Source organism: Homo sapiens, chromosome 20 (genome assembly GCF_000001405.40).
Source record: "Homo sapiens chromosome 20, GRCh38.p14 Primary Assembly".
NCBI lineage: Eukaryota > Metazoa > Chordata > Mammalia > Primates > Hominidae > Homo > Homo sapiens.
The window spans coordinates 42,127,839-42,144,721 of NC_000020.11; the positions used below are offsets into that span (position 1 = coordinate 42,127,839).

General features: G+C 44.6%; 1 protein-coding gene across 11 annotated transcripts in view; it reads right to left on the bottom strand.

Annotated features, from left to right (window-relative positions):
- PTPRT (protein tyrosine phosphatase receptor type T) overlaps positions 1 to 16,883 on the bottom strand; it is a 1,158,017-nt gene that overhangs the window by 95,949 nt on the left and 1,045,185 nt on the right. For all 11 annotated transcript variants that reach the window (XM_047439848.1, NM_001394024.1, NM_007050.6 and 8 more), the window contains 2 exons: positions 14,077 to 14,164; positions 916 to 992 (listed from right to left, as the gene is read on the bottom strand). In XM_047439848.1, coding sequence (XP_047295804.1) covers positions 916 to 992; positions 14,077 to 14,164 — 165 coding nt within the window. The remainder of the gene's footprint in view (positions 1 to 915; positions 993 to 14,076; positions 14,165 to 16,883) is intronic.

The window sequence follows — 16,883 nt, forward strand, 5'->3', positions numbered from 1 at the left end:
TCTTTCCTTATTGGTTGTAGTTGTCTTAATTCCAGAATTTCTTCCCTCGGATCTGTCTTATCTTTGGTAGCAGATAAATCATGCCAAAGCTCAGTTCTAAGCTGGTCACCTCCTTGATAAAAAATTTTTAATAGCTTCCTCTTGTCTATGGGATAAAGTCCCACTTCCTAAGTCTGAGCATTTAATCTTCACTGATGTAGTCCCAACAATATTTTCCATTATTCCTGTTACATATTCTCTGCTCCCCTCAAATGGAGCTGCTATGTATCTCCTGGCCAGTTGCTCCATCTTGGCTTGTGCTATTCTCTCTAACTAGAGGCCCCTCTCCCCTCTCTTTGATTTTAAATCATATCTGTGCTTGAAGCTTTGGTTCACATCATATTTTGCATTCCTGATGGGAGAAGTGATATTTTTCCCTACTTCTGAATCTCTGCAGCATGTTATCTGTACTTTTGACACTTAACAATTTCTACTTTGCCCTGGAATTATTGATGTGCACATTATCTCCCTGCTAAGGTTTTAAAGGGTAGAGACCATGGTATTATTAGCATTATGGTTCCCATAGCATCTAGTATACATTTTACAGTAGGCACTTTAAAATTTTTGTGGCATAAATGGCCATGCGTTTATGTGAATGAATGAATGGATCAACAGACATATACACAAATGAATAAATGGGGTGAATGAGTAAGACTAACAGTTGTCCTGAGGCCCCATAGAGCAGGCTACTACAGCTAGCCTGAAAGTGGATGCAGTGGTAGATGGACAGTCAACTTGGGTTACACTAGTTCCACATATCAAGGAGGATCCAGACTGCTCTGGAAGGGCCACCTTCTGGAGGAGAGTTTGGGGTAAACCACAGATCTTGAGCCTGCAAAAGCCAGCCCCAGCCCCCAGCCCCATTAAGACACTCACGTCAATGTAGTTGGCATTGATGTAGTCAGAGTGCGGGTCTCCATCCAGCACCAGCAGCCTCACCCGGGAATGGTCGTCTGCAGAGAGAGCAGAAATCAAGGGGATGGTTGATAAGAGGCCTTACGCAGCTAATGTCCTCCTTTAGAACTACTGTTTATTAATGACTGCATATCAGGCATTGTGCTACTCTCATTTAACTCTCAACACCACCCTCAGTTACTGCTCCCATTTATAGATGAGGAAGTGGAGGCTCAGGGAGGTAAGCACTTCTCATTTTTCTACCTTCCCTTCTGATTTCGTCATTACCTAACTGGATTAGTCACCTGTTTCTTTAAGTCTTAGTGACTTAATCATTAAAATGGGGATGGAAATACTTGCTTCATAGGACAATGTGAGAGAGACCATATAAAAATGCTTAGGACAGGAGAGTGTTGCATCTGGATTAATATACTCCATTTTCATGTTGTTTAAAAACAGCAAGTTTACCTATCTTCCACACATGCACAAATTGCTTTTCATTTGCCCCTTGGAGTATTGTTAGAGATAGATTGTCAGCCATATATTGTTATCAATACTATCATTAAAGTGAGGCTGACTAAATCATTATAAAAGAGGTCATCAATAACTAAAAATTGTGTTATAGAGGATGCCTTTTCAAACACTATCTAGACATAAACAAGATTTGCAGGCTTTATTTGGTAGCATGCTTACTTCAACTAACACCAAATAAAAACCATTAAAAGAAAACCAGTACAGCAGAAGAATCAGGATAATCCTTTACAGTTAATTAAGTGAGCTCTGACACGCTAATAGACACACACAAGTGGAACATTGGTTCGGTCTGGTTGGGAGGAGGGACCTTGGTTTGCTATCCAGGTCACTGTGCACGTATCATTGTGCAGTCACTGCATCCTAGTTCACCTTCCTCTAGGGCAGGAATGGGTCCCTAAGATGTGGGCTGGAGAGCTCTGGACATCCCCAAGGGTTTTCTGGGAGTCACGGAGGTCAGATCAGCTTATCTTCTTAGAATTATACAGCATTCTGCAGTTTACAAGGCACATTTATTGCAATTAACCAAAACCCCCTTGAGAACTGGGACATTATGCCTTATTCCCTGTTCCATCCCCTGCACCTTTAAAAGGTCCTGACATACAGCAGGTACTCAGTAGTACATGGAAAAGGTATAATTGGATGCCCTCATTGGGTTCTCACAGTGACCCTGTGGAAGAGAAGTAGGATGGGTTCTTTTAGCCCTTGTTACAAATGAGGAAACTGAGGCTCCAGAAAGCCTGACTGGCCACATGGCCAGTGAATGGTAGAGCACAGAGGAGTGAAGTTCTCTTAACTCTGAGTTCGGTCGCTCCTGTTTCCAAAGGGGGTGTAAGCACAATGTTAGAAACCACTTCAGATATACCCAGCAGAGGGAATTAACTACTGAGAAGTGGTTGCCTGGGTTACAAAGAGTTGAGCAGCCAGATAGAAGAAAGTGGAGAAACTCAGAGATAAGCAGCAACAAGGAGACACTGCCTGCCCTTGGGCTGAAGGGATGGAGGGAGGTGGTGGAGTTGGCAGTGCTCAGGAGCTGGGGCCACCTGCTGGAACCTGAAGCCACAGTGGGATTCTAGTAGGAGCTGGAGGCAAGGAGGTGCTTCCCTTGCTGCTAAGGAAGGCAATTGTAGTTGTAATACCCTGGCTTCTCCCTTTCTCCTTCTCTCCAATCTCCCAGTGCATGTCATTGGCTAAACCTAAATAGCTGACAGGAGAGCCTGAAAAACACAACCTGCAGGGGTAAGTTACCTGCAATGCACACTAGAGTGGGAGAAGGTAAGGAATGGGTCCTATTATGGACAAACAGGCCTAGGGCTGGTATAAGATACACCCCATATCTATCCATTCATTTAAGAATCATTCACTGAGTATCTGCCATGTGGCAGGCAGGCACTGTGCTAGACAGCAAGTTATACTAAATGCGACTTTTCTTACTCATCAGGGGGAAGTTTCAGCAGAAGCAACTAGAGGGAGCAGGTGGGTGGTCTAAGCAATCCCTTTGGGTGAGTGGGAGAGTGGAATGTGACATGGGGGAGGAGTTTGAAGTTAACCTTTATTGGATTCATGGTAGGTAAGAGAAACTTTACATGCATTATCTCCTTCAACCATTTATGCCTCAAAATAGCCATATAGGTTATTATAAGGATACCAGAATGATATGGTATTATGAGTCTTCCCATTTTACAGATGAAGACACTGAGGCTCAGAAAGATTAAGCAAGCTTCCGAAGTTACGCATCATGTGTGTGGCAGAGATAGGACTTCTCGGTTAGGTTTATCTGACCCTGAAACCCTACTCTGCCCACATAACTTGCTGTCCCAGAGTCTCAGGCATCTCACAGGCACTACAGCTGGAGTGTGTGCAAACAGCTCTTCCCCAGTTCCTGCAGGATTCTAGCCCCAGAGAGGACTTCCTGGGGGACAGCCCATCCAGCAGGCTGGAATTCAGACAAAGCCTGGCACCTGACTCTCAGCCCAGGGCATCAAGCCTCTGTTACCAGCAGTTCCAGAAGCTGTAGGCCTCAAAAAAGTGAAAATGCACATTGTGTTTTCACTCAGTGGTCTCATTATGACTTACTGATTCAGAAATCTCCTTTATTTGTTGAGTTATGCCTGCCCCTGGGGCCCATAGCACTGGAAACAGAGATTGTGGTTTAAAATGTTGAAAGGGAATTTTTAAAATATAAAATGAAGTTGAAAAACCGGAAAGCAAAAATGATTAAAAACAAAACAAAAAGAAACGAACTTATTTATTCTAGTTAAGTGTACTTATGGATGAAAGTGATCTCTAGCCACCAGATGATGGTGTTTGACAACGTCTCTCCTTCATTTATTAAGAATGTGTTTACTGCACACCTACTATGTGCCAGGCTAGTTGAAGGGATTAAGAAAGTGCTATCAAATGTGATACTCATGTTTAAGGAGTTTGTCAATTTAGTGGAGACAGACTGTATGCAGAAGCAAAACTTCCAAATCTAGAAGATGGGGAATAGAGGGCTTTGTGTAGTGACATGTGAATGAGGAATTAAAAATGAGTAAGGTTTGGCCAGTGCACAATGAGGAAGTCTTTCCATCAGAGGGAATGGCTAGAGTGAAGGCAGATATCCTGAAAAAAGCAAGCACCGTGGGGGAGCTGCAAGGGTCTCCTGTCCTGGGAAAACAGAGTGTGAGGGGAACAGCGATGGGAGGGGAGACAGAGGAGGCAGCAGCGGGGGTTTCATTTCAGAAGGCTCTCCATGCCCTGTGAAGCCATGAAGACTCAAGGAATCATGCTGGGCTCTGCAGGGCAGCCTAATACAGTGTTTCTTTTCTGGGACAGTGGAAAGGTGCTTTATTATGATGTAACCAAAATTCATGCCTACACAGCTAACTTATGTCAAGTGAGATAAACTTTTAATATAAGACGTGAGATATGGAGCTGTGATCAGATTTGGCTTCAAATCTTAGCTCCATCACCTAGCAAGTCAATTGATCTCTCTTAGCTTTGGTTTCCTTAGCAAAATGGAGCCAATACTATATGGCATGAGAGGATTAAATGAGAAAACATAGGTGTGAAAAGTGCTAGGACATTAAGAAATGAGAGGATAAGCCACAGACTGGGAGGAAATATTTGCCAAACACGTATCTCAGAAAGGACTTGTATCAAAAATACACAACAAACTCTTAAAACTCAGTAAGAAAGCAAATGACCTGATTAAAAAATGGGAGAAAGATCTGAACAGACACCTAATCAAGGAAGATATACAGATGGCAAATAAGCACATGAAAAGATGTTTAACATCATGTGTTATTAAGAAATTGCAAATTAAAACAAGATACCACTACATACATATTAGGATGGCCAAAATCCAAAACACTGACACCACCACAGGCTGGGGAGGATGTGGCACAGCAAGACCTGTCATTCATTGCTGGTGGGAATGCAAAATGGTACAGCCACTTTGGAAGACAGTTTGACAGTTTCTTACAAGACTAAACATACACTTACCATACTATATCTAGCAATTGTACTTCTTGGTATTTACCCAAATGAGGTGAAAACTTATGTCCATAGGAAAACCTGCACATGGATGTTTATAGCAGCTTTACTTAAAACTGCAAAAACTTGGAGGCAACCAATATGTCCTTCAATAGGTGAATGGATAAACAAATTGTGGTGCAGACGGTCCCTCACTTGGGATGATTAGACTTAGGTTTTTTTGACTTTATGATAGTTCCAAAGCAACATGCATTCAGTAGAAACCTTAATTTGAGTACACATATAAACGTTCTGTTTTTAATTTTTGGTACAGTGTTCAATCAATTCCCTGACATATTCTACACTTTATTATAAAATGTACTTTGTATTAGATGATTTTGCCCAACTAATCATCTAATATAAGTGTTCTGAGCATGTTTAACGTAGGCTAGGCTAAGCTATGATGTTTGTCAGGTTAGGTATATTAAATGCATTTTTGACTTATGATATTTTAAACTTATGGGTTTATGGGGATATAACCTCACTGTAAGTGAAGGAGCATTCATTCGATATCCATACAATGGCCTATGGTTCAGTGAGAAGCAGAAATGAGTTATCAAGCTGCAACAGACATGGAGGAAACTTAAATGCATATTTCTAAGTGAAAGAAGCCAATCTGAAAAGGCTACATACTGTACAATTCTGACTATATGACATTCTGGAAAAAGATAAAACTCTAGACACAGGAGAAAGATCAGTAGTTTCCAGGGGCTTGGGAGGAGGGAAGGATGAATAGGTGAAGCATAGAGGATGTTTAAGGCCGTGAAACTATTCTATACAATAGTGCAATAGTAGATATATGTCATTGTACATTTGTCAAATCCTATAGAACTGTACAACATAAAAAGCAAACCTGAATAAACTATGGACTTTAGCTAATAATAATAAATCAATATTAGCTAATTGTAATGAATGTACCACACTAATGCAAGATGTTAATAATAGGGGAAACAGTATGTGGGTGGGAGGGAGTACATGGGAATGAGGTACTTTCTGCTCAACTTTTCTGTAAACCTAAAACTGCTCTAAAGAAAAATGCTAGGACAATGCCTGGTACACAGCAGGTGCTTAATAAATGATGGTTTTGGGGCTGAATGTGAGGCAGGCAGTGAGCTAATAGCAGAGATACTTAGAAACTTGGTGCTCTCCACTTGACCTCTGTACCAAATACAGATCCATCTATCTGCAGAGGCAAAGAACTATTGTGTGTGTTCACTAAAGGGTGGAATTCAGCTGTAGGTCCACCACAAAGGCACTGCAAGGAGTGGCAGTGTCCTCATGGTTTATTTATTCCTTTTGGGAGATGCTAATATTATTCTGTGTCCCCTTCTTCTTCTAACTTTATATAATTAGAAGGATAAAAAATTGTGTTTACCCACATGCACATGGAGAAAGATGGGGCGGCAGGCGATGTGAAGGCGTTTATACGAGGTAATTTACAAGCAGCCTAGAATGTTCATTATGCTCTATCTACATTTTGCAAGCTTGAAAAACAGCTAATTTGGTACTCCTTGTTTGATATTCAAGACAAGGAGAGGAGTTAAGAAGAGTCATGTGGAGGAGAAGCAAACTCCTCAATGAGGCGAGGGGAAGGTGCAGCCTGGCTCCCCCGGCTCTCAGTTGAGGTGAGAGATGGGCAAGAGCTGGCTGTGGCGAGGAGGGAACTGGTGGCAGAAGGTAGAAGGGAGACATGGTACCAAGACACATAAATTCAAAGAGCTCCCTTTAACACAAGTCTAGGGGAACATCATCACTCAGTTTGCAATCAATCTGCTGTTCCTTGCTTGAGGTCAAAGACCACTAGTATGCTGGTAAATGTTTAACATACAGCTCCCTGTGGGAAAAAAGGCCCTGATCAGTAATGTCTGCTGATTTCTGTGGTGTAAATACTCCCACCATGACCGATTTCAAGCTACCAACATAGCATCAACCACCTCACAAAATTCCTGAAAATTTAACAATCTGCTTTTGCAAGCTGGTATGAGTCAGCTACAGAACACCACTGACAGAGGACAAAGCCTAGCACACCCTGCAATGTCTTGCATGATCTGATGGTTTGGGACCTACTTCTCTCTCCAGCTTCACATACTGCTCTGATAACTGTGGTCTTCTTTCAGTTGCTCAAATGCACTGTGTTCACTCTGACCACAGGGCCTTTGCATGTTCAAAGAACACCTCCATCCAAGCTGGCAGTTGCGCCTGGATCCTGGGCTCCAATTCTTCCTCTCCTCATAGCTGACCCCTCACCACACCTGTAGACCCAGCCTATCCCTTCCAAAGACTGGCAGCCAATTCTTGCCTTTAGCAGAAGGGAGGTTATGGATTGGGTGGAGTCTGAAGGCAGACCTGAGGCTTGTCACACCCTAACCATATCACCTGGGGTAGGTTACCACCTCCCCTGAGCCTCTGTTTACCCAGCTATAACATCCAAATCATATATAGCTGTGCAGACTTGCTGCAAGGATTAAAAGATGTAAAATATGAACCCACCTGGTATGTTGTAAGAAATTAACACAACTATATAAATTCAGTTTTGTTTTTATTCTAGACCTGGGCCAATGGCATCAGCAGCACCTGGGAACTTGTTTGAAATGGAAATTCTTGGGCCCCAGCCCAGACTCACTGAATCAGAAACTGTGGGGTGGGGCCCATCAATATGCATTTCAATATGCCCTCCAGGTGATTCTGATACACGTTCAGGTTTGAGTATACAGACCAATGTTTAGTGACTTAGTGCAGAGGTGCTCTGGTTATTCACTTCAATCTGTCTTGGGAAAGACCAGAAGATCTTACTGGAAATGGGCCATAAGACTAGAGACTCACCTTGTGCCAGGTGGTGGGATACGGAAATTTAGCTGTGTGAAAAGTGTAAGATGTTCCAGGCACTTATCAAATGCCATGGGGATGCCATGCCATTTGATTCTCACAGTAACCCTGTGAGGTCTATACCATCATCCCATTTCATGAATGAGAAATTCAAGGCTCCAAAAAGTTTAATAACTCAGGAGAAGGTATAGGGATGAGGGCTTCTTTATAGAGTTGTAGGGTCCTCACTCCTCCTGGAACGCTGAGATCCATGACCTCCATACCCTTCTATGCCACACTTCTCCAGCTTCCACTTTCCTCTAAGTTCTCAGTCTCCAACATTGGTCCTCATCCCACTAAGGTCTCATGGCCACCCGAGAGAGAGGGTTCACTTTCCTCTTTCATACAGTTCTAACTCTCAGAACAAACCACAACTCCTTCTCCCTCCCTCCATCACCAAAGATAGCCCAGTAAACCTGTCATCTCAACCCACATCCACTTAAAGAGAGAATCACTTCAAAGAGGTGGGGCTGGGGAGAGAATATTATTTGGATACTTGATATTCTTTCTTCCTGTCTTCTGGGCACTACAGAGGGTAAAGAACAGTGCTTTTTTTTTTTTTTTTTTTTTTTTTCAGAGAAAAGAGATTTGACTCATTACAATGAATTGTGGAGCTGAAAAACCATTTCCTACAAGTATTGGAAATGTTAATGCCATCATCTTGCAAAAGTGGATAAGGAGGAGGCAGGTAATTCTGCTGAGACTGCCTGGGTACCTCACTGAAGCTAAAGGTCTGCACATTCAATCTTGATTGAATTACCATTATCAAGAGAGGCTGGCTTGGGCATGATGCAGAGACAGCCCGACATTCTGTGTACCTCCTTGTCCTGCCAGATCCATGCTGGCTGAAATTGGAAAACGCCCCTTTGTGGGGTCCTGGGAGGAGCTGCTCCAGTAGATGCAACCTTTGAGGGGACTGAAGGGGACTGGAGTTGAGAGGGGCAAGCACCAAGAGAGGACCACCTGTGTCCTAAGGATGCCATCCAGGCACTGCCCCACTGAGGGGCCTTTCTGAAGGAAGGGAGGGAGGTTTCTTATTTGGATTTCTTCAAAAGAAGAACATGAGATATGTATTTGGATGCAAGTAGTTGTTGTCGGGGGGTGATCCCAGGAAACACCAGCAGGGGAGTGGGAAGTGAGACAGAGAAAGAAGAAATCTAATAGGGGTGTGTCATTCAGCAAGTTGCCATTGTAGCAAGTTGAGGCTTAATTCGGCTGAGGAGCTCTGGGAGTCATTCTACCTAAGCAGAGAGGGAGCTGGGGTATGTATATACCCACTTCCATCAGTCATTAATTGAGGGCAGGTTCTGGGGACATTTAATATTCTGGCTCTTTGGGCCTGCCCTGCAAGAAGGCAGAGAAGGCTCTAGTGGCCAGAAAAAGTCCTTAGGAAAAGAAGCAAAGGTGCTGGCAATTTGAATTAGCACTAGCACACATGCAAGTAGTGAGTGTTTGGGGATATGGCAGGGTACCAATGGTTTCTGCACCACAAGGCATCTGTAGGACCCAGGCAATGGCCACCCTCAGAGACAGTGAAGAAGAATGGAGGCTGAGAGTCAGGAGCATTGAATAAGGCACCCACTCTGTCACCCCCAGCTCTGTCTCCCCAGGAATCAGCAGAGAAACCTGCTGTGAAAAAAGTCCTCTGGGTTTTGTTTTGAACCTGAGTTCCTCACTAGGAGTGAGGGTCCTCTCTGCACTCCATAGCCCCACCTCCTTCTGGAAAAGATGGGCCTCTCTGAAGAGCTCATCTGCTCTGAGGTTGGGCCTTAGCAACACATTCTCCCCCAGGAACATGGATGTGACTTGATGCAGAGAGGACTCTTTGGTAAGGAATATGTGCCACCCTACCCTGGCAGGCAAGAGACCACAGCTCTGGTCATGGCTGTTCTACAGACTTGCTGTGTGCTCTCGGGCAGGGCACAGTCCATCTCTGGGCTCTCTCTTCTTGCCTGTGAACTCAAAAAGGCTACACTAACTCATCTAGACTTAAAAGTCTGTGACTTAAGGGGCCACACAAGATTCAGATTTAATAATCATTCAGCTTAATTTGGCCTCTCCATCCTGAGAGCTGCCCTAGAGCCATCTGATGGGTGAGAACCTGAAGGTGGGTGAGGTGAAGTGATTGTGCTGAAGGTAAACAACAGAACTGGGATGAAAACCTGGGACTGCCTGACCTCATGTCTAAGACCCCAATACACCTGAGCCCAGTGGCTTTTCCTAGATTGGGAGAAGATAAGTCTCAGAAAATGTGCTGATATCCTGTGTGCCCGCAGACCCCCTCTCCACTTCATCTGGCCCTCTAATCCAGGAGGCTGATTGCTATGGCCAAGATTGGACATTCTCAAAGTTGCACATGCGTCACCATCACCTAGAGGGCTTCTAGAAATACAGATTGCTAGACTCTGTCCTCAGAATTTCTGATTCAGTAAGTCTGGGGTGGAGCCCAAGAATTAGCACCTCTAATGAGTTCCCAGGTAACACTAATGCCACTGCTGTAGGCATTATACTTTGAGAACCACTGGATTAGGTCAACAGATCTCCTGTTCTCTGGATTCTGGTTGGCCCCAGCCAATGGAAAGCACAGGCAGAAGATTGGGTGGAGGGAGGAGAGTGTGATGGAGGTACTTACTCCTCCAGCACCCCTTGGTGGGGTCACCATGGGTGGCTGCCTTGCCACCAAAGGTCGCACCCACCTCTGGTCAGGTCATCTCTCTTTGGGTCCTGGTAACCCCTCCTACGGAATCCTTCCTGGTCTGAGGATGGAATTTTGGTACTGCACTATCCCTTGTAGTCTTTCTACATCTAGATTACACCTTTATAAAGAACTGATCCCAGAAGGGGGCCTCATTTTGTAACATTTGCAACCCCTGTGATCACTTCAGCTTCTCAGTGTCAGCACCTTCCTGCCAGTCTAGGAAGCACCTCTAAAACTTTACATGGAGAATGCTTTGGGATTCTTGAATTTCCCCTTGCCAACAGTCGCTGCCCTAGAGTTACTTGGAAGCAAAGGTCTCTTTGTTCTTATTTTACCCATTCATTTCCTTCCCTTTCACTTCCTTTCCATTTACACTCCCTAGAAACCCCACTGTCTCTATTACTAAATTCTAAATAGAATCACTTGGAAGAAAGGAGATATTTCGCCAAGGTCTCTTGTTGTTTCTTTTGTAGGCAGTGCCCTCCCTCCTACTTGTCCCCTTTAATCTTTTCTGTTCTCCCTGGCCTGGGCCTTTGTCCTCCACTCCAGCCTCACAGTGCTCTGGGTTCCTTAAGATGCTAATCACAGCCAGTTTTCTTCTTGCGCCAAGAATATTTCTATTTATCAAGCCTCGGCAGGCTTTGCCTTTGGGAGGGACGCATACAAGGGCAGGAACACTTTCCATTCCTTGGGGCTGTTTCTTTTTTACATATCCCATTTCAATTCCAGGTTGTTTTTTTTCCATTTCCCTTTTTTTCTTGATTCTCCTTTATGTCTTGCGCTGCTTTCTGAATTCACTGGTTACCTCGGCACTGTCTTCTTTCAGCACTGAATGCAGACCTGCTCTTGCCCTGATCTCTTGCAGAATGATTGACTCTTAAATTAGAAAGGAGATTCTGGTTTATTTAAACCCATCAAGGTGGTATCGTCAAGGTGCTTCAGTTCTCTCTGTCTCCATTTGGGTTCCTCAGAAGTAGATCTAAGACAGAGATTTTAGTCCAAGCAGTTTATGTAGGAGGAGACAGGAATACCAGTAGGAAAGGGGTGATGTACGACAGGGAAGAGAAGGCAGCTTATTAAGGGTGAGTTTTCAAGCCCATTAGGACTGCAGGTAGCTGTATTCTCATCCCTGTGGGAACTCCAGAAGGAACTTCAGGAGAACGGTGAAGAAGCTGGGGTATTTCATGGTGGAGGGCTTCTCCTGGGGGTATTAACCCTTCAGGATTTGCAGGCTGCCTGTGCCTGGGCAGGGGATCCTTTCCCAGCTTTGGAGAAAGTCCTCAGTCTAAGAGATGCAGGCAGGGCAGGGCTAGGGTGAAGCAAGCTCAGAGTCTCAGGCATAGGCTTTATCAGATAAGTGACTATATATTTTAGGGTACAGTGTCCACAGTGCAGGAGCAGAGAATGCTGGGGACCAGACAGGGCAAGCAGCTCCCTGTGGCAGAGTGGGGGCTCCCCAGGAGCAGGAGCTCCACCTCCCAGTGCCCATCACAGGGCCTGCTTTGAGGAGGCCCACATGTCATAAGTCTTAATACATGTTTGCTGACTGTTTGAATATCACTTCTCAACACTTCACTTGCAAGAAATCTTGCTGTCTGAATTACCATCTTCCAAGAGAGAAATTATAAATGTTTTCTGATTAGTTCTACCATTCATAGCCCATTCCTAAATCAGCACAGGAAACAGCTAAGCTAAAACTTCTGCCTTTTTCTTCCTTTACAATCTGCCTGTATCTTACTCTTTCTTCCTCCAAGTTTTTTCTTAGGCAATGTCTAGACAGTTAAAACAAAACAAAACAAAACAAAACTCTGAATTGTGCTAGAAATAATTTGTCATTCAGGATCCTTTTTTTTTTTCTTTTGGATGAACTGGGTTACTCTGTGAGCTGAGACCCAGGGATGTTCCCCACACCATTGGTGAGATGTCAAAAGGTCCAGGTTGGTTACACTGAGTCAGACAAAGGCTGTTGTAGACTCCTGTTCTAATTAGAATACATGCTTAGCATTTTGCACGAGATAACTTTGTCTTCTCTGTATTTATTTTACTTTGAAGGCTGTACCTACGAATATTTGGCAGTGACAATACTTGTGTGTTACCTATGCATGACATTCAGTTCTGTGGCAGTCTCTCTCTTCCTCACCCCCCAGAACTGAATACCATGCACCTGTCACACACAAGTTATTGTCACTGTTTGTTCAGGCCCCATCATCCCTTGGTGAGACTACTGCAGTAGTCTGCTGACTGATCCCTCTGCTACCAGCCCTTCCCAATCAAGTATACCTTCCATATCTGCTGCCCTAGTGATCTTTCCAAAATGGACATCTGATCATGCCCACCTCTCCCCAACCAACCTGCCTTATTCTATGTCCCCACAGGACATGTCCTGAGTACCCAGTGAATCCTGGTTAATAAAATAAGGTGGAATGATAGATCCATGCTGCTCACCAGTGACCTCAAGCAAGTACCCCTGTGGCTAAGAGTAATGGTGCCAGGCACTGTAGCAAGAGTTTTATGTACCTTTAAATGCTCCTCCTATTATCCTCATCATTGTAAAGGGGAGGAATCAAAAGTTTACAGAGGTCAAGTAACTTTCCCAGGGCCCTACAGTTGGGATAGAAACCTGGGCAGTTTGACTCCCGAGGGCGCTAACTACTCTGCACCGCTGACTTCATCAATGAGTCATTCACTGGGGGTGCCTACAGGAAAGGTAAAGCTCATTGTTGAGCAAAGGCAATGTCCTTCCTTAGCTCTGCGTAACATGCCTTCCCCTGCAGGCTCAGTACCTCCCGAGGTGCACTGATGCAGACCTGAGGGCAGGCCCTCACCTCAGAGCCCCTGCCCTACTATAGTGGGGACAGGTAGAATCTGTGTTGCCCTAAACTCTGTCTCTCATACTATAGGAGTAGCCCCGGGCTCCTGTGAGGCCTGAGCTGGGCATACCCCAAGCCCCAGGTGTATGCCAGAGTTACTGGCTTCTTCTGAGCATCAGCCTTTACTTCCAAGCATCAGCCAGTGTGACTCCACCTTCTTGGAGGAGCATCATTCTCTTGCCCGGGTTCTCCTAGCCCCTCCCTCACAGGCTGGGGCCCATGCTCCTCACCCCAGGTTGCTGCCAAAGTCCTCCTTTGAATTAGAGGAGCTTCTGGGAACACAGAGCTCATCTCTTTATCCAGCTGTGGGGTCTTCCGCATGTCAGCCCTTTTGGCTGGGCTTCTTCCCCGACCTGAGGAATTGAGCAGGCAATGCTCGGTGAGACCCAGCCTTCAGAGGTTCTTCCCCAAGAGGCTTCATGGTTCTGCTCTGCCCTGACCCATCTCCCTGCCTGCTCCCTCTGGCTGAGATCAGCCATGCTCTGTCATCCAGTCTAGGGATGGCAGTAAGGCTGATATAAAGCTTCCATCTTGGCATGTAGATACAAAGCTAGAGACAGCAAAGATTATTTGATAACAAATTCCAGGTAAATAATAGTAATAGCCTCTTTTCCCCTGCATCCTCAACACCTGAAGCTTAGGAGCTCCCAGAAGGGCACCTACAGGATATGATGTTCCCATATCGATTCTTATTGCGGTTTTCATCCTCCTTGGCTGTGTCCCACGAAGCTGTCTGCCCCTCTGGTAAGGCCTAAAAAGCAAGGACAGAGTGGTTAGAGTGGCCTGAGATAGGAGCTTTATGGAAGTGGAGATGAACCAACAGGGCAAAGTAAGACCCACTGCGATGGGACTCCTAGTGGAAAGGGATAGATGTCCTTGGATGGGGCCTGGGGAGGACATAGATTTTGTCTGTCCCTGGACCTATTCTCTTGTTCATTGTTTCAAATGTTATTGATGTCTTCTGTGTCATGAGTTCACAATCTAGCCCAGTGGGGGAATCGCTTGTCCATTCATTGAATTATTCATTCATACACTCAACAGATACTTACTGAGCCCCTAACATGGGCTGGGCACTGTTTTAGGTACTAGGGATATAGAGAAACAGACAAGTTCCCCTTGAGCTTCCAGTCAACTAGGAAATATAGTAAATGTGTAATAAAAGAGTAAATGTGTAATTTTAGATATGAAAAATGCTATGATGAAAATAAAGCAGAATAAAGGGATAGTGATGAGGAATGAGAATTATTTCAGATTATACACTCTGGGAGGGCTTCTCCAAGAAGGTAACATTTTAGTTACAGTAGTCCTCCCTTATCCTTGGAGGATTTGTTCAAAGACCCCCCAGTGGGGGGGCTCCTGAAACCATGGATATTACCGAACCCTATACATACTATGTTTTTTCTTATACATACATACCTATGATAAAGTTCAATTTATAAATTAGGCATAGCAAGAGATTAAGAACAATAATAAAATAGTATGACAACAATATACTACAAGTTATATAAATGCAGTCTTTCTCTCTCTCTCTAAATATCTTAATATTTTTTGACTGAGATTGACCTTGGGTAACTGAAACCATGAAAAACAAAACTGCAGATAAGGGGGACTTCATTAATGATAGATACTATAATTCCTTCATGATACTGTAATTCCTTAATATGAAACAGCCAGTCACACCAAGAAAAGTAGAAAGTGCTTTTCAGGCAGAGGGAACAGCAGATGCAAAGATGGTCAGGCAGCAACCAAATGACCATATTCAAGGACTGGAGTGTTGTGAAGAGGGAAGTAGTGATGGAAGTATCTAGAGCGGATGGGGGAGTCCAGATTATATAAGACATTGCTATTACTGGTTAATGAACTGGGCATTATTCTAAGTGTGATGAAAAACCATCAGAGGGTTTTGGGCAGGGGAATCATCTGATTCATGTATTACAAAGTACAATCTGGCTCATGTATGGAACACAGGCTCTGGGAGGGGCATGGAGGAAGCAGGGAGATCTGCTAGAAAGTTGTGGCAGTGGCCAGGCGCGATGGCTCAAGCCTGTAATCCCAGCACTTTGGGAGGCCTAGGTGAGTGGATCACGAGGTCAGGAGATCAAGACCATCCTGGCTTAACACGGTGAAACCCAGCCTCTACTAAAAGTACAGAAAAATTAGCCGGGCATGGTGGCAGGTGCCTGTAGTCCTAGCTACTTGGGAGGCTGAGGCAGGAGAATGGCGTGAACCCGGGAAGCGGAGCTGGCAATGAGCTGAGAGCACGCTACTGCACTCCAGCCTGGGCGACAGAGCGAGACTCTGTTTCAAAAAAAAAAAAAAAAAAGTTGTGGCAGTACTCCAGGCAACACATGATGGTACCTTGGACTCTTAGACCGTGGTGGTGGACATATGAGAAGTGATTATTTGCAGGATGTTCAGTTGAATGTTGTTGACTTGGGTTGCCTCGGAAGCAGACTCAGAGATAACAAGTCAGGCACAAGTAGTTTGTTTGGGAGGCACTCCCAGGGAGTTTGGGTGGGAGAATGTGGAAGTGGCACAATCAAGGGAATGAAGTCAATATAGAGCACATCAATGAGCAGGTTACCACTGTGGGCAACTGGGGCCTAATCCAATGGGCACATCTCATGCCTTAGAGTTATCCCACCATGGGGTTGGCACAAAGTTGGGGTAGTTACTGATCAATTCGCATCCAGTATTGGTTGAGGACAACTCTTGGAAACTCCCCAGCATTTCTTCCATGCTCTGTGGGCAGAGTGTGCATATTCTTCTGTCTTGAAGAAGCCCTCAGGCAAAAAGTCACAGGTGCTTACAGGAGGAAGCCATAAGGTGGGCATGCGTGGGAACAGTGAGTGTAGAGTGGATGTGTGCAGGGCACCATCTGCCATAGATCCTGACTGTGAAGGAAGGAGAGGAAAGAAGGCTGACCCTTAGATCATTAGTTTGAAGAACTGAGGGGGGAGAGATGTGATTTATTGAGATGGAGAAGCCTGGGTTAGAAACAGGATTGGGGAGGTAAGAATTAAGTGTTGTGTTTTGGGTACATAAAGTGCTTAGTAGAGTGCCTAGCATTGAATACTGCACACTTTTTTAAAAACATGTTCAAAATAACAAAAATGGCAGCCACGTTGGAGATGTCCATTAGACATCCAAGCTGATGTTGAATAGGAAGTTGGACATGGACACCCAGAGCTTAGGGATAGGGAAGAGATAGAAGTCATCAATCAGTTTAAGAGGATGGCAACCACCGATAAGACAGACAAGTCAACAAACATGAGACAATTTACAAGAGTTATGAGTCAAGTGGTATGGAAACACAGGGAAGGGTGCAGTCAGTTATTTCACAGACAGGGAGGACGGGCAGTTAAGGGAGTGGGAACAGCTATAGAAAAGCTGCAGAAGCATGATTATCAGACCATGTTTTGATTACTCTCTCTACCCTAAATTTAGTAGAATAGGCTGAACATCCTGCT